Source organism: Homo sapiens, chromosome 12, assembly GCF_000001405.40.
Source record: "Homo sapiens chromosome 12, GRCh38.p14 Primary Assembly".
In the NCBI taxonomy this organism is placed as follows: Eukaryota; Metazoa; Chordata; class Mammalia; order Primates; family Hominidae; genus Homo; species Homo sapiens.
In genome coordinates this window covers 103950194-103966849 of record NC_000012.12, presented here as the reverse complement: position 1 = coordinate 103966849, position 16656 = coordinate 103950194, and the positions used below count along the sequence as shown (strand labels likewise).

Below are 16656 nucleotides of genomic sequence, written 5' to 3'. Positions count from 1 at the left end.
TCCCATTAGCCACTGAGAGTCAGGATAATTCTTCATTAGGCATAGGTTTTTTTCCTTTTAATTTCAATGTAAATCATCACTCTTTATCTTTTAAAAAACTGTCACCATATCCATTTTTTAAAAATTTAGTCTTCCGCCAGGAGTTCAAGTCCCTAAATCTCCTGCTTTTGCAAATTTTTCTCTTGACTCCCCCAAAGGACTTTTTAAAAACGGATTCTTAAGATCGTCCCCAAGGCCACTGGAAAACTCAAAGGTCATTTTTAGATTGACTACTCGAGAGTGTATACATATGCCCACAACAAAATTATCTAACCCGTGACCCTTAAAGTTGCTTTCAGTAGGCCTTTGGGGTGGGGGGAAGCCGCAACAAATCAACCAACTTTAAAATGAAAACTCCTGGAGCTGGAAATGTTCGACACTCATCTTTACAGCTCTCTGCGTGGTAATGGAGGGTGACGGAAAACCCTTCTAGCCAAGAATGGCATCCAGAAAGACACATTAACCAAAGACTGCTGAATGCTTACTAATATATTTTATAGTCAACTGGTTATCGCGGGGAACCAAAGAAGGGTCCAGGTGCACCAGGTAACCCTCAGAGCAGCCCCGACCTCCACCACCACCGCCGCAGCCAGGGAAGGAAAGGCCGACCAGGCCACAGTGCGCACGCGCGGCCCCGGCCTTTGTATTCCGGCCGGGATTTAAAAGACCCCTGCGTGCGCGCGCGCGCGCCAGCCAGCCTGCCCAGCAGTGAGGGGCGCAAGGGAGGGGCGGCGCTGGCCCCGGTATTACCTGCCCGCGTTCTCCGCTTCCATTCCCCGAGGCCGCTGATGCGGGCGGCTCCACCTGCCGGGCACACGGGCAGCCGGTCTCTGTAGTACCGCGTGGTACTCACTGCGGTAAGACAACCCCAGAGACCTGGGCCCGATGGCTGGCAGTACCCAGACAGTGGCTGGACTCAAGCTCCTCCTCCAGGCTTCTACCGTCCCCCACGGACCCCCTTTCTGTGCTGCACTTCCGCCTCCTCGGAGCCAAATCCCACGCGTACTGGCCGTCACGTGATGTAGGACAGCCCAATCACGCTCACCCCCTTCTCGTTGGCGCCCCAGCTCCGCCGCTTGGCCTTTCGGGAAGGGTGGAGGACCAGAAGACGGGGACTAGGAGCGCTCTGCCGACGTCAGCTTTTGTCTCCAGTATTTTCGGGGGCTGGTGGACGCGTGGGCGATAGGGTGCTGTCCTTGGGGTGCTGTGTATATGGGATGATGACGCTTATCAGCATTATCTAGTCCTTTCCACCCCGAAATTCGCCCCGATTAAAGACTGTGTTGCATTATCAGGTAATGAGATGTGAGGGAGGGTCTTTGAAAGTGGAAAACCTGGGCGTCGAGGCCACTGTGCCATCTTGGGCCTCAGTTTCCTTATCTGTGAAATGAGGGTGAATGTAAAGCTGCTATGTAAAATGTAAAGCTCTACATAAACCACTCTCCGCATTACTTTGGATATATGAGAATATTAACGTTTGACGTCTACGAGACTAGATCCCATTCGAGCATCACCTCCCATAACCTTACAGACTAACCCCTCTTTTAAATCTCAGTGGTTCGTAATCTTACAGACTAACCCCTCTTTTATGTCTCAGTGGTTCTTGCAGCTGGCTTTTGTTTCATTAGTTCTCAATTTCTGTCACTGGTGTTTGTACTTTATTAAGGAACTCTTAATGGAATAGGCTTTTGGGTTTTTCTAGTTTGCAGGATGATGAAAAACATGGCTGCTGTATTTGTTGGCTTTCCTGAGTTTATTCATATAGTAACAGGTAACTCCAAACCTTCAGTGGTTTACAGCCACAGAAGTTTATTTCTCACTCACGTGATCTGTGAGCTGGGAGATGGCTGTGGCTCTGTGCTCCATGTATTTTCTTCATTCTAGGATCCAGGCTTTCGTGAGTAAATACAGAAAGATTTTTGTAATATATCAACTGTTTAAAGTTTGAGTGAAACGTTTAAAACAGTACAGAACTTTTATGAATACCCTGTCCATTAGTAGACACTACTCAGAACCTGGCACATGGTAAATATTCAATGAATATATGTTGAGTGAATGAAAAAAGCCCATCCTCTCTGATTTTGCCAATGGCTCAGGACCATCGTCTAGAAAAGTCTTACAGCAGGTGGCTTGCCTCAGTTATTTCAGGGCATCCAGAAAGACACATTAACCAAAGACTGCTGAATGCTTTGGGAGAGAATTCTGGTGACTGAAAATGTGTGTGAAGAGAGTAAACTTTTCTCAGGATGTCTGCACTCGGGGAATTACCCTTGGCAGCAAGGGCTTCTCTCACTGTGGGTTGCTGTGCTGGGTCCTGCCAGCTCCATTCATAACCTCAAGAGACCAGGGTCCTCTGCCCAATCTTGCATGGCAAAAGAAAGTTAACGTGAGGAGGCCGGGCGTGGTGGCTCATGCCTGTAATCCCAGCACTTTGGGAGGCCGAGGCGGGTGGATCACCTGAGGTCAGGAGTTGGAGACCCACCTGGCCAACATGTCGAAACCCCATCTCTGTCACCTGTAGTCCCAGCTACTCGGGAGGCTGAGGTGGGAGAATCGCTTGAACCAGGGAGGCAGAGGTTGCAGTGAGCTGAGATCGAACCACTGCCCTCCAGCCTGGGCTACAGAGTGAGACTCCGTCTCAAAAAAAAAAAAAAAAAAAAAAAAAAAAAAAAAAAAAAAGCTTATGGGAGGAGTTGTCGGTGAGGACACTGAACCTAAAAATGGTGAAGCAGTTGCAGCAAACTGGCTTTTATCCCATCAGTGTCTCTCTCTCAACATCCTGCATCTGAGTCTGGAAGACAAACTTTTTCTGCTTGTGAACCTGGCCCACCAGAGCTTTTAGCAATCTGGAAACAGAACTGGGAACTTCCTTGTAAACTTCCTGAAGATTGATAAATGACATCTATAAAAAAAAAAACAATTTGTCTTTGTTCATTGCTCTGGTGCTGGTTTATGTAGAAAATCCTGTGGAACCTACAAAAAACCTAGTACAGCTAATAGGTGAGATTCGCAAGGTTGCAAGATAAAATATCAATATAGGAAGATCAATTGTAATTTATGTACTAACAACAAACAATTAGAAAAAATACCATTCACAATAGCATCAAAAATATGAAATATTTAAGGATAGAGCTGACAAAAGACGCAAGATTTCTATCATAAAAAGTGAAAAGCATTGCTGGTAGAAATTGGGTAAGAACTAAATAAGTACACGGATATGTTGTATTCATGGATCAGAAGACCAAATATTGTGAAGATGTTTAAAGATTCAATATAATGCTAACCAAAATCCAGGTAAGCGTTTTTGGGTAGAAATTGACAAAATGATTCTAAAATTTATATGGAAATGCAAAGATCTAGAATAGCCAAAGCTGGGAGAGCTAATACTGCCTGACTTAAGAATTATTATAAGGCTACAGTAATCAAGACAGTGTTAGCCGGGCGCAGTGGCTCATGCCTGTAACCCCAGCACTTTGGGAGGCCGAGGCGGGCAGATCACCCAAGGCCAGAAGTTCGAGAACGGCCTGGCCAGCATGGTGAAACCCCGTCTCTGCTAAAAAACTACAAAAATTAGCCAGATGTGGTGGCACATGCCTGTAGTCCCAGCTACTCAGGAGGCTGGGATGGGAGAATCGCTTGAACCCAGGAGGTGGAGGTTGCAGTGAGCTGAGATCATGCCACTGCATTCTAGCCTGGGCAACAGAATGATTCCCTGTCTCAAAAAAAAAAAAAAAAAGTGTAGTATTAGCATCAAGAGAGAGAAATATATATCAGTGCAACAGAATAGAGTCCAGAAATAGACACATACATGGACAAGTGATGAACTGATTTTCAACTAAGCTTCAAAGGTAGTTCAGATATCTATATGCAAAAACAAAACAAAGTTGTATGCATGACACAGGGCAGGCAAGCCCTTAGCCCAGGAGTGTTCTTGGCTTCACCCAGGAAATAAATCAAGAGTGAGCTGAAAACAGTTTTATTCAGGCAGCAGTGTTACAACTCCAAGACTGCTCCTGCAGAGCAAGGCTGCCCCATAGGCAGTGTGCTCAGAGTAGCAGCTCAGACGCAGTTCTGCAGTCATATTTATACCCACTTCTAATTATATGCAAATCAAGGGGCTGAGTGTGCAGAAATTTCTAGAAAAAGGGAGGTAACTTTTGGGTCAGTGGGTCATTACCATGGAAAGGAGTGGTAGCATCTGGGTGTTGCCATGGCAAAGCTAAACTGACAGGGCACATTAGTTGGTGTGTTTTATGGAGAAGAGCTTCCACCTCTTCCCTGTTTTAGCTGGTCCTCAATCTGGTCCTGTGTCCAAGCTCCACCTTGGGAGTCAAGTCGCACCTCCTGCCTCACACCATATAAAAAAACAAAATGGATCATGGACTTAAATGTAAAACCCAAAGCTGTAAAATTTCTAGAAGAAAATATAGAAGACAATATTTATGACCCTGGGTTATATTTTTTAAATATAATACAAAAGGAAAAATTGATAAATTATACTTTATTAAAATTAAAAACTTCTCTTAAAAAATTAATGAAAAGCAATAAACTGGGAGAAAATATTTGCAGATCATATCTGATAAAGGACTTGTGTCCAGAACATATAAAAGAACACTCAAAACCCATAAGAAAACAACTCAGTTTTATAAATGAGCAAAAGATTTGAACAGATACATCACCAAAGAAAATAGAAGCACAAGAAAATATGGTCATTTGTCATATTCTGAGAAATGTCACTAGGTGATTTTTTCATTGTGACAATGTTACAGAGTGTACTTCCACAAATCTAGATGGTACAGCCTACTGTATACCTAGGCTATATTGTATGGCCTGTGGTTCCTAGGCTACAAACCTGTTCAGCATGTTACTATAGTGAATACTGTAGGCAATTGTAACACAATGGTAAGTATGTATCTAAACATAGGAAAGGTACAGTAAAAATACAGTATTAGGCCCAGCACGGTGGCTCACGCCTGTAATCCCAGCACTTTGGGAGGCCGAGGCATGTGGATCACCTGAGCTCAGGAGTTCAAGAACACCCTGGGCAACATGGTGAAACCCTATCTTTACTAAAATACAAAGAAAACTTAGCTGGGCGTAGTGGCGGGCACCTGTAGTCCCAGCTACTCGGGAGGCTGAGGCAGGAAAATCGCTTGAACCTGGCAAGCAGAGGTTGCAATGAGCCGAGATTGAGCCACTGCACTCTAGCCTGGGCAACAGAGCGAGACTCTGTCTCAAAACAACAACAACAACAACAACAACAACAACAACAAAACCAAACAGTATTAAAGATAAAAAATGTAGCAGGCACTTACCATGAATGGAGTTTGCAGAACTCCTTGTTGCTCTGGGTGAGTCAGTGAGTGCGAAGGTCTAGGACATTGCTGTACGCTACTGTAGACTTTATAAACACTGTACACCTAGGCTACACTAAGTTTATTAAAAAGTAATTTTCTTTGTTCAATAATATATTAACCTTAGCTTTCTGTAACTTTATAGACTTTTTAATTTTTTAAACTTTTGACCTTTTTGTAATAACACTTAGCTTAAAACACACATTGTACAGCTATAAACAATTTCTTATATCCTTATTCTATAAGCCTTTTTTCTGTTTTTAATTTTTTTTTTTTACTTTTAAAAATTTTGTGAAAAACTTAAGACACAAACACACACATTAGCCTAGGCCTACACAGGGTCAAGATCGTCAGTATCACTGTCTTCCACCTCCACATCCTGGAAGGTCTTCAAGGGCAATAACCCACAGGGAGTCGTCATCTCCTATGATAACAATGCTTTCTGGAGTACCTTGTGAAGGATCCGGCCGAGGCTGTTTTACAGTTAACTTTCCTTTTTTTTTTAAAAAAGAATAAAAGGAGTATACTGTAAGAACCATAAAAGTATAGTAAATAGATATATTAGTAACATTTTATTATCAAGTATTATGTAGTGTACATAATTGTATGTGGTATACTTTTAGATGACTGGCAGCATGGTGTGTTTACACCAGCATCACCACGGACACATGGTGTTTGACAGTTATGATGTCATTAGGCTATAGGATTTTTTCAGGTTCGTTGTAATCTTATGGGGCCACCTGTCGTGTATGTGGTCCATTGACTGAAATGTTGTTATGCAGCATATGACTGTATCAGCACATGAATGTCTGTGACCCATTTAAAATTTTTAATATGGTGTGGGGTATGTGTCCAAGGATTTTTATGTTTTTGTGTTTTTTTCCACATATAAAAATATCTGAATCATTAGTCATGAGGGAGATGTATATTAAAACCAAAATGAGGAACCATTACCCACATATTAGAATAGCTAAAATAAAAAAGCCTGACCAGAGCAAATGTTGGAGAGGATTTGAAGGAACTGGTTGGGGATGTCTCATATGTCTCATACACTGCTGATGGGAATGTAAAATGGTACAGATTGGCCGGGTGCGGTGGCTCATGCCTGTAATCTCAGCACTTTGGGAAGCTTAGGTGGATGGATCACATGAGGTCAGGAGTTCTGAGACCACCCTGGCCAACGTGGTGAAACCCCGTCTCTACTAAAAAAATATACAAATTAGCCAGGCGTGGTGGCGCCTGCCTGTAATTCAAGCTACTCGGGAGGCTGAGGCAGAAGAATTGCTTGAACTCAGGAGTCAAGGTCACGCCACTACACTCCATCCTGGGCGACAGAGCGAGACTGTTTCAGAATGAATGAATGAAAGAATAAATAAATAAATAGCCAGGCATGGTGACTCATGCCTATAATCCCAGCACTTTGGGAGGCCGAGGCAGGCGGATCACCTGTGGTCAGGAATTTGTGACCAGCCTGGACAACATGGTGAAACCCCATCTCTACTAAAAATACAAAAAAAATTAGCTGGGCATGGTGGCGTGTGCCTGTAATCTCAGCTACTTGGGAGGCGGAGGGTGCAGTGAGCCAAGATTGTGCCTCTGCACTCCAGCCTGGTGACAGAGCAAGACTCCATCTCAAAAAAAAAAAAAAAAAAAAAGTAAAAATAAATAATAAATTTGTATAGCTGCTTTGGAAATTCGTTTGGCAATTTCTTTTTTAAAAAAGTTAATTATTATTATTATTTTTTGAGACGGACTCTTGCTTTGTCACCCAGGCTGGAGTACAGTGGCACGATCTCAGCTCACTGCAACCTCCACCTCCTGGATTCAAGCAATTCTCCTGCCTCAGCCTCCCGAGTAGCTGGGACTACAGGCGCACACCACCACACCTGGCCAATTTTTGTATTTTAGTAGAGATGGGGTTTTACTGTGTTGCCCAGGCTGGTCTCAAACTCCTGAGCTCAGACAATCCGCCTGCCTCGGCCTCCCAAAATGCTAGGATTTTAGGCATGAGCCACTGCACCCGGCCTGGCAATTTCTTAAAAAGTTAAATATACACCTTCCATATGCTCTAGTAATTCCTCTAGAGATGTACCTAATAAAAATGGAAGCCCATGTTCTCAGAAAGACTTCTATACCAGTCTTTCTCATATATTTTACTGGTCATAGTAGCTTTATATCTATCAACCGATGTCAACCTAAAATAACCAAAAGGGTCAGAATCTAACTTAAAGAGGGTTTATTCAAGCACAAAGAGTAAGAATGGACCACCTGGAAACACCAGCTCCAAAGGAATGGAGTCAGCGTTCTGAAGTAAGAAAGTTAAGATTTCATTTGTATGGCAGAGACAGGAGTTTTTAGCAGGATTGCAACACTTTTCATACAAGATTGGCACAAAGTTACAGCAATTTGGTTGGTTATACGCAGTGTTTCTTTTTGGGAAGGTGCATTTAACACTTTTTACAGAGGGTGTAATACTCATGGGTTTTCTGTTATCTGGTCTCAGCAAAGCAGGACAATAAAGGGCAAATTAATCAAGGGTCATTAAGAAAGGAGGTTTTTGTCACTGGCATTTAATTTTCTCTAGTGATTGTATAGAACAAGAAAAAGTGAGTTAATATATAATCTGAGAACAGAAGTTGTAACCGTATGTGACTCAGATTAGTCACATCTCTCTCAAGGCTTACAGTGTTTTTTTTAGGTTCCAACATTTTTAAAATTTTATTTATTTACACACCAACAACTAGAAACAACCAAAATGTTCATCAATAAGTGAATAGATAAACCAATTGTAGTCTAAACCCACCTAGCAATAAGGAGTGAACTACTAAGACATGCAACAATGTGGATGAATCTCAAAATAACTGAGCTGCATGAAATAAGCAACACAAAAAATAGTACATACGGTATAATTCTATTTATGTAACATTCCAGAAAATGCAAACTAACTTATAGTGACAGAAAGCAGATCTGTGATTACCTAGGGAAATGAGGCCATGGAGGAGGGAGGGAGTAGAAAGAAGCACTAAGAAACTTTTGAGGGTCTTGGGTATGTTCATTATCTTGATTGTGGTAATGGTCTCACATATGTCAAACATCATATTGTATACTTTAAATATGTGCAGTTTATTGTATGTCAAATATACCTCCATAAGACTCTTTACAAATATGAGTATTATGATTTGTCATACATACAACTTTAATCCTTCAGAATTTAGCCTTGCACTAACTTTTTTTTTTTTTTGAGACGGAGTCTTGCTCTGTTGCCCAGGCTGGAGTGCAATGGCGCGATCTCAGCTCACTGCAACCTCCATCTCCTGGGTTCAAGCGATTCCCCTGCCTCAGCCTCCCGAGTAGCTGGGATTATAGTCATCTGCCACCACGCCCGGCTAAATTTTGTGTGTATATATATACATATATATTTAAAAATATATAAATATATATTAAAAATAAATATATATTATAAATATATAAATATATATTAAAAATATATAATATATATTAAAAATATATAATATAAAATATGTATAAAATATATATTTAAAAATATATATTATATATATATATTTTTAGTAGAGATGGAGTCTTGCCATCTTGCCATGTTGGCCAGGCTGGTCTCAAATTTCAGGCCTCAAGTGATCCGCCCGCCTTGGCCTCCCAAAGTGCTGGCTGGGATTACAGGCGTAAGCCACCGCCCCCGGCCCTTGCACTAACCTTTTACTTAAAAAACAACCAATAATCAAAACAATGGAAAAATTCCTGGATTAAGTTATGTCGATTTCAAATTTCCCCTTTCCCAGTAGCACCAGGTCATAAGGCCACAGCTGTCTGGATGTGGCTCTATTTCGGGTATCAAAAGACGCCAGACACAGGGACAGTGAGTGCCTTTAACTTCACTCTTAAGAGGTCACAGGAGGGTGACCTCCCATAAAAGCACGCAAATGCTCAATGTGTGACTCCACCCCTCCTAAAAAAGTGGTAAAGGCGTGGTTTCCTTTGTGTGCACGAAAGAACAAACGATGTAATAATAGTCCACGGCCTGGCCTTAGATTCCACATCTGCCAGGAAAATTTAACTATAGGGAGAGTGATGGAGGTGCTGGGAGCCTGGGGCTGAGAAAGTGTCGGAATTGGTTTAAAAAAAAAAAAAGTCACTGGCTTTCTCCCAGCGCCCCACCTCCTCTGCGTCACGTGCCTGCGCCGGCAGCGCTCCCACTTTCCTGTCCGGTGCGGCCCCGGGTCCCTGTATTTTGGGTCCGGCCTGCTCGCCGTCCGCTCCGTCCGCCCTTAGACCTGTTGCCCAGCATCCCTGCAGTTCGCGGTACAGTCTCTAGTAGAGCGCGTGTATAGAGGCAGAGAGGAGTGAAGTCCACAGTTCCTCTCCTCCAAGAGGTAGAAGGGGCGCGGGGAAACGACCTGGTATCGGTTTTCCGCTTGCTGATCAAGAGCTCCCTTTAATGCCGCACGCAGGCCGGCGCCCCTCACTGATAAACGATTGGGGCTGGGCCTCGGCCTGGAGGGCGTTCGTCCTCTCAGTGCCCTCAGCTCGTAAAGGAGGAAACCGAGGCGTGGGGTTGGGCGAGAACCCAGGGGTCCTCCTGCACCCCCGCCGCCGTGTGTCTCGTGTCCAGCGCTGGCTGGAGCGCCTCAGCCCTGGCGCGGTGTAGTCGTGAGCTGGAACTTCTGACACTGCCCCTTCCTTCCCCGTCCAGCCTGCCGACCATGCCCGCGGGCGTGCCCATGTCCACCTACCTGAAAATGTTCGCAGCCAGTCTCCTGGCCATGTGCGCAGGGGCAGAAGTGGTGCACAGGTACTACCGACCGGACCTGGTGAGTGCGGGAGGGCTACTATTTTATTTTTGAGCTAAATATACCTCATTTCTTTGTAAATTACCCAGCCTTAGGCATTCCTTTATAGCAATGCAGATGCTCCTGGACCACTCCATTCTCCTCGTGGCAGCAAAAGTGATCTTGAACGAAATTAGGATCACATTTGCCCTGGGCCCAAAACCTTTGGATGGCATCCCATTGCATCTAGGGCAATGCATGGCCTGTGAGGTCTTACACAGTCTGGCCGCTGCCTACCTGTGGCCTATCTGCCACCATTTTACCAGTTCTTTCCCCTGTTAACATTCACGCCTGCTTCCTTGCTGTTTCTCCAACTCATCAAACCTGTCCCCATTTCGAGGCCATTCTTTTCATTATCCTTGGCATGTCCTCCTCCCCCCACCACCCCCCCAACAACTTGGCTTGGTTTCCTTCTTCAAAACTTCAAGTCTTAGCACAAGTCTCTCCTCCAGCAATGAGGGTCCTTGGGTTAGCTCCCAAAGAATTCCTCCTCTGCGATTCCGTCTCATCTTTTGTTTCCATAGAGCACTTGTCTGCAGTTCTTTGTCTATTTATTTGTTCTTTGTCAGTTTGCTTCAGTAGAATGTAAGCTCCAGACTATGTCTGTCTGGTTCAGTCTTGTATCTCAACTGCTTGGAATGTAGCAGACACTCAATAAGTATTTGTTGAATGAAGGATGAGTGACTATAGGCATTCAAAGGAAGGAGAAATTTAAATTAATTTTAATAAGCATTCATTAGGAACTAGAATTAAAGGTTCTTTTCAGGAATTAGAGTCTTGGGGAGGTGGAGATGAGAAAGTATGGCACAAATAATTACAAGAATGTGCTGTTATGCTATAGGTGTGAATAGTGGTTTGGAGCACAATGTTGGGAGCAGTCATTTCTGTTTGGACTCTGCCTGGACAGGTAACACTTTCAGAGAGTCAACCATTAGTGTTTCTTTTTTTAGAAATTTTTATTGAAAAATAATTTTAAAAAAATTAGACAGGTCTCATTCTGTTGCCCAGGTTGGAGTGCAGTGGTGCAATCAGCTCACCGCAGCCTCACATTTCTGGGTTCAATCAGTCCTCCTGCCTCAGCCTCCTAAGTAGCTGAGATGACTGTGTACCATCACACCCAGCTAATTTTTAAATTTTTTGTAGAGACAAGGTCTCAAAATGTTGCTCAGGCTGGTCTCCAACTCCTGGCTTCAAGTAGTCCTCCCACCTTGGCCTCTGAAAGTGTTGGGATTACAGGTGTGAGCCACTGTGCCTGGCTCCATTTGTATTTGCACTTATGTTTTATTTTTATTTTTTGAGACACAGTCTCACTCTGTCACCCAGGCTGGAGTGCAGTGGCACAATCTGAGCTCACTGCAACCTCTGCCTTCCGGGTTCAAGCAAATCTCATGCTTCAGCCTCCTGAGTAGCTGGGATTACAGGCATACACCACCATGCGTGGCTAAGTTTTTCTATTTTTTAGTAGATATGGTGTTTCACTGTGTTGGCCAGGCTGGTCTTGAACTCCTGGCCTCAAGTGATCCGCCCGCCTCTGCCTCCCAAAGTGCTGGGGTTACAGGCATGAGCCACTGTGCCTGGCCCATTTGTATTTTTAACATCAGTTAATTGTCACTACAATTTTGAAGGTGTTATTTCTGTTTTCAGATGAGAAACAGGTTGAGAAGAGTGAAGTTGATTTCTCAAAGTCACATAGCTTAGTGAGACGATTTGAGGATCTGAAGCCCAAGCTTTCTGTTTGGTATGTCTCTTTTTTGCTCCTGTTCATAAAATAATCCAATACTCTTGTAAAACATTCAAATTGAGTTCAAGTATGTAGAGTAAAAAGTGAAAATCCCCCCTCTTATAACCTCCTTTCTCCTGTCTGCTCACGACACGTTAACTACTGTTTCTTGTTTGGTGAATATCCTTTACTACTTCTCACTGTTGTTGAATGTCCACTGATACGGGTTGGATATTTGTCTCCTCCAAATTTCACGCCGAAATGTGATCCCCAATGTTGGAAGTAGGACCTGGCGGGAGGTGTTTGGGTCATGGGGACGAATCCCTCATGAATGGCTTGGTGCCCTCCCTGTGGTGAAGAGTGAGTTCTCACTTTATTAGTTCATGAGAGCTGGTTGTTTAAAAGAACCTGGCTCTCTCTCTCACTCCCTCTCTTGCCTTGTGTTACACATGCTCCCACTTTGCCTTCTGCCATGAGTTAAAAGCTTTCTGAGGCCTCACCGGAAGCTGGACTGATGTTGGTGCCATGCTTGTACAGCCTGCAGAACCAAGAGCCAAATAAACTTCTTTATAAATTACCCAGCCTCAGGCAATGCAAAATGGACAAATACACCTGTGCATGCATGTGTACACACACAGTTTGTGGAGTGTTTTTCCTTCATGTGAATAGGAGTTCACGTACACATTTCTCTGCAACTTCCTTGTTTTGGTTAACATCTACATAAATAGACATTTGTGTATATTAAATCTTTTTAACTATTGCATAGTATTTCATAATATAGCTGTGACATATTATTTGATCAATCCCTTATTGACATTTAGGTAGTATGTAGTTTTTGTACAAACAATGCTGCAAGAGCTCTTTCTTACAACTTCAGAGTGCTTCTCTTTTAAAAAGGGTTCTATTGAGCAGCAAGAATACCTAGTGGAGACAAAGTGACAAGAACCTTCCACAGTAATGCAGTTTAGTCTATAGCTTGTGCAGGAATAGACATCAGGCAGGCCTTGCAAAAGAAGGAATGCCTGGGATTTGACCCTGGGAAGTTGACCTTTGATTCACCCATTTCATTATAATTGGGAATGTGCAAGGGTTGTTACAGCAGCTACCTGTACCTTGGGAGGAGATAGAATGAAGCCACAGCCTTTAGAAGGGCCATATTGAAGGGTCTAAACTCACCTCAGTTTGATTGGGTGGTGACATTGGCAATGGGGTATCTCTGTAGGAACTTGAAGGCCCAGGTGGCTGGCTGTGTGTTGAAAGCAGTGTGCTTTATTAACATTTATATGTTCTTTACCTATGTCTTTTGGTTTTGCTCCAGCAATTACTGTCACTGTTGTCAACCACTTTGTTCTTTGTAGCAAAACTGGATCACAAGTCTTTCGGTCGGAGAACTGGAAGGTCTGGGCAGAGTCGAGCAGAGGAGACCATGATGACTGCCTAGACTTGTGCTCAGTGCTGTGTTGGGGAGAACTGCTACAGGTGCTTTTAGTTGTCCAGCTCAGCTCATCTGAATAGCAAAGGAGATGACTCTGTTGTAGTTCAGGTTGAAAGCTAGGAGTCATCCTTAATTCCTCTCTCATACTGTACATATGAGCAGATCCCATTGGATTAACTTGAAAGGTACATCCAGATGCTGCCTGCTTCTCACCACCTCTTTTGCTACTACCCAGTTCAATCCACTGTCAGTCACTTTCACCTGTTATTGTAATAGCTTCCTGACCTGTCTTCTGCCTTCGACTCTTGCTCTCCTGTGGTCTATTCTCAGCAAAGCTACCATTATCATCTCTGTACACTTGAGTGAGGACATGCCACTCTTCTCAGAACTCTCCAGTGTCTTCCCATTTCAGAGTGAAAAACACTGGAGACTTTATCTCCCCACTCCCTTTTTCCTCTGCCCTTGTCTCCTCTTAACCTCTCTGTGAATACTTTGTACCAGCTATACTGACAACCTTGCTTCTTCTTGAACCTGAAGCCACACTCCTGCCTTAGGTCCTCTGCACTTGTGGTTCCATCTGCCTGAAATGCTCCTAGGTAACTGCATGGCTGCCTCCCTCATCCTCCTCCATGTCTTTGTTCAGCAGTCATCTTCTGAACACCAGTAAGCACACAGAAAGATGCTCAGCATCATTAGCCACCAGAGAAAGGCAAATCAAAACCACAGTGAAATACCACTTCATACCCACTACAATGGCTGTAGTAAAACAGAGAGTAACAAGTATTGTCAAGGATGTGGAGAAATTGAAAGCCTCACGCATTGTTGATGGGAATATAAAATAGTGCAGTGGCTTCAGAAAAGCCTGGTAGTTCCTCAAGCAGTTAAACAGTTTCCATATGACCCAGCAATGCCACTTTTAGGTTTATGCCCAATAGACATGAAAACACATATTCACACAAAAACTTGTATATGAATGTTCAGAGCAGTATTATTCATAATATCCAAAAGGTGGAAAATCCAAATGCCTATTAGCTGATGAATGGATAAATTGTATATCCATACAATGGAGCATTATTCAGTAATAAAAAATGAAATACTGATACAAGCTACAACATGGATGAACCTTGAAAACATTATTCTACCTGAAAGAACACAGAGGACCACATATTATATGATTCCATTTATAGAAAATATCCAGAATAGGCAAATCTATATAGACAAAAAGAAGACTAATAGTTATCTATGGCTATGTGGGGGAGGGTTGTATGGAAATGAAAGTGACTGCTAATAAGTATGGGGTTTCTTTTTGGGGTGATGAAAATTTTCTAAAATTTATTGTGGTGATAGATGCAGAACTCTGTGAATACCTTCCTGGAATGCAGGGATTTTGTATTTTTTTGCATACTGCTTTCTGCTTTGCATATAATAGGCACTTAATATTTTTGAATTAATAAATTAATTCCTAACGCCTATTTTCTATGCCAGGCACATGGTAGAGAGTCAGTAGATGGTGCAGGAATGAATTTCCAGATGTGGAAAGTTTTATTCAAAGCTGTGAACCTGTCAATTGATTCTGATGCCAGCTATCCTTTGTGAGTCCTGCAGTACGTAATGCTGAAGACCTTGCCAGGATGATAGACTCATATAAACACAGGGTTAGAAAGGGACTTAGATCAACCAGAGCTTCTCATAATAAAGAGTTATCATTGAGTAGCAAGCAAGGGAACTTTTTGTTATTTTTTACTCTTTAAAGTCTTCTAGGTTACATTGAATTACAGCCTTATTAAGGGTTAGACATTTATGTTTTTTGTTTTGTTTTTTTTGCAGACAATACCTGAAATTCCACCAAAGCGTGGAGAACTCAAAACGGAGCTTTTGGGACTGAAAGAAAGAAAACACAAACCTCAAGTTTCTCAACAGGAGGAACTTAAATAACTATGCCAAGAATTCTGTGAATAATATAAGTCTTAAATATGTATTTCTTAATTTATTGCATCAAACTACTTGTCCTTAAGCACTTAGTCTAATGCTAACTGCAAGAGGAGGTGCTCAGTGGATGTTTAGCCGATACGTTGAAATTTAATTACGGTTTGATTGATATTTCTTGAAAACTGCCAAAGCACATATCATCAAACCATTTCATGAATATGGTTTGGAAGATGTTTAGTCTTGAATATAACGCGAAATAGAATATTTGTAAGTCTACTATATGGGTTGTCTTTATTTCATATAAATTAAGAAATTATTTAAAACTATGAACTAGTTTCATTAATTGAATTTGCTAAGTGGAGTTATTTCTCATTGCTAAACTGTTTTTTTTCAAATTCTAGATCTCTGCTAACTTTAGTAAATGAACACTAAAGTGGTGAGCTTTGATAATGCATTTTGTGGATACAAAATCATCGCCTCATCACTTTCTAGAATGAAAGGCTGGGGGCATTGCTCACCTTTTGCGTGAAGAAAAGACCTGTCCCTTAGAGCCAGTTTTTGCTTAAGGGGAGGACAGACCGTCGTCACCCAGTGGACCACGTGAATGAATGGATGCAGTGCATGCTTTAGAAGCACCGCATACCTCCTTTTACAGGTACAGAGTAAGTGGTCTGGCTACTGAGGGAAAGAGTCATGATTTGAATCCGAGTCTTCTGTAAGACAATGACTTCATGAAGGTGAAAAATCAGTTTTATGGTTATTAAAGTAAAAATTTACCTTGGGTAAAAATGCCATCTTTATTTCATTAAGTACTGGTTCTAAGTGACTTCCAATAAGATACATTTTCTTCCTGTTTTGAAGTTGATCCCCATTGTGAAAAATATACATTGTAGTGGTCATGGAAATGCGCCATCCATACTCCCTAAGGCAGGCTTGTTGCCCTAGTATCAAGCATGCCAGCAGCTTTCAATGGTCAGCTTCTAGAAGGATTGCCTCGGCTATGGTGGCCTTGCTCAAAGCCATGCCTCCTGAAGGGGCCCAAATCCAGTGACTGTTGGAGGTGAGAATAGAAAGGCCTGGCCACTTCAGCACGTGAGTGGTGGGCAACTCTGCTGGGCCCACCACAACTCCCTATGGGGTTTAGGGACACTGTCTTTGGATCTGCATTGCAACTCAACTTATACCTCTGCTCAGTCCTGTTTCCTTTCTCAGGTGTTGATCGAAGGGTGTGCCTTCATAGACCCCCTGCTAAACTGCACCTCAGTGTTTCTTGGAGAACCAAATCTGTAACATATATGCATTAAAAATTAAAGGCAGTACTATATTATCCCCTAA

The 16656-nt window shown here is 42.7% G+C and overlaps 2 protein-coding genes across 6 annotated transcripts in view, besides 6 other annotated features; one reads left to right on the top strand and one right to left on the bottom strand.

Moving 5' to 3' along the window:
* The window catches only part of TDG (thymine DNA glycosylase), a 23003-nt gene extending 22025 nt beyond the window's left edge, over positions 1-978 (bottom strand). For both annotated transcript variants that reach the window (NM_003211.6, NM_001363612.2), the window contains exon 1: positions 790-978. In NM_003211.6, coding sequence (NP_003202.3) covers positions 790-812 — 23 coding nt within the window. In that variant the 5' untranslated portion in view covers positions 813-978. The remainder of the gene's footprint in view (positions 1-789) is intronic.
* Positions 438-507: an enhancer, noted in NCBI's record as "active region_6905". NCBI's record gives its function as "activates an Ori minimal core promoter by ATAC-STARR-seq in GM12878 lymphoblastoid cells {active_cell/tissue: GM12878}" and the evidence as "EXISTENCE:reporter gene assay evidence [ECO:0000049][PMID:35858748]".
* Positions 858-1187: an enhancer, noted in NCBI's record as "active region_6904". NCBI's record gives its function as "activates an Ori minimal core promoter by ATAC-STARR-seq in GM12878 lymphoblastoid cells {active_cell/tissue: GM12878}" and the evidence as "EXISTENCE:reporter gene assay evidence [ECO:0000049][PMID:35858748]".
* UQCC6 (ubiquinol-cytochrome c reductase complex assembly factor 6) lies at positions 1143-16656 on the top strand. 4 transcript variants are annotated; one of them, XM_011538718.4, is made up of 5 exons: positions 9635-9781; positions 10102-11144; positions 11882-11975; positions 13316-13436; positions 15220-16656. In XM_011538718.4, exons 2-5 carry the CDS (start codon positions 11039-11041, stop codon positions 15325-15327), a joined length of 429 nt encoding a protein of 142 aa, XP_011537020.1. In that variant the 5' UTR covers positions 9635-9781; positions 10102-11038; the 3' UTR covers positions 15328-16656. The 4 variants fall into 4 exon arrangements, with proteins under 4 accessions (XP_016875406.1, XP_011537020.1, XP_016875405.1 ...); XM_017019917.3 differs by lacking the exons at positions 9635-9781; positions 11882-11975; positions 13316-13436 and adding an exon at positions 1143-1334 and having other exon boundaries at positions 10102-10219; XM_017019916.3 differs by lacking the exons at positions 11882-11975; positions 13316-13436 and having other exon boundaries at positions 9635-9710; positions 10102-10219.
* Positions 9487-9626: an enhancer, noted in NCBI's record as "active region_6903". NCBI's record gives its function as "activates an Ori minimal core promoter by ATAC-STARR-seq in GM12878 lymphoblastoid cells {active_cell/tissue: GM12878}" and the evidence as "EXISTENCE:reporter gene assay evidence [ECO:0000049][PMID:35858748]".
* Positions 9767-9896: a silencer, noted in NCBI's record as "silent region_4783". NCBI's record gives its function as "represses an Ori minimal core promoter by ATAC-STARR-seq in GM12878 lymphoblastoid cells {active_cell/tissue: GM12878}" and the evidence as "EXISTENCE:reporter gene assay evidence [ECO:0000049][PMID:35858748]".
* Positions 9767-10319: a biological region, named in NCBI's record as "NANOG-H3K27ac-H3K4me1 hESC enhancer GRCh37_chr12:104350309-104350822".
* Positions 9806-10319: an enhancer, noted in NCBI's record as "NANOG-H3K27ac-H3K4me1 hESC enhancer chr12:104350309-104350822 (GRCh37/hg19 assembly coordinates)". NCBI's record gives its function as "activates a minimal SCP1, AML or CMV promoter by ChIP-STARR-seq in naive H9 embryonic stem cells {active_cell/tissue: H9 hESC(naive)}" and the evidence as "EXISTENCE:reporter gene assay evidence [ECO:0000049][PMID:30033119]".

Bases quoted from the DNA above. Each gene is read 5' to 3' on its own strand.
- UQCC6 (XM_011538718.4), top strand. From the start codon at position 11,039: ATGGCACAAATAATTACAAGAATGTGCTGTTATGCTATAGGTGTGAAT. The intron at 11,976-13,315 runs GTATGTCTCTTT...TGTTCTTTGTAG, and splicing joins AAGCCCAAGCTTTCTGTTTG to CAAAACTGGATCACAAGTCT. The intron at 13,437-15,219 runs GTGCTTTTAGTT...TTTTTTTTGCAG, and splicing joins GTTGGGGAGAACTGCTACAG to ACAATACCTGAAATTCCACC.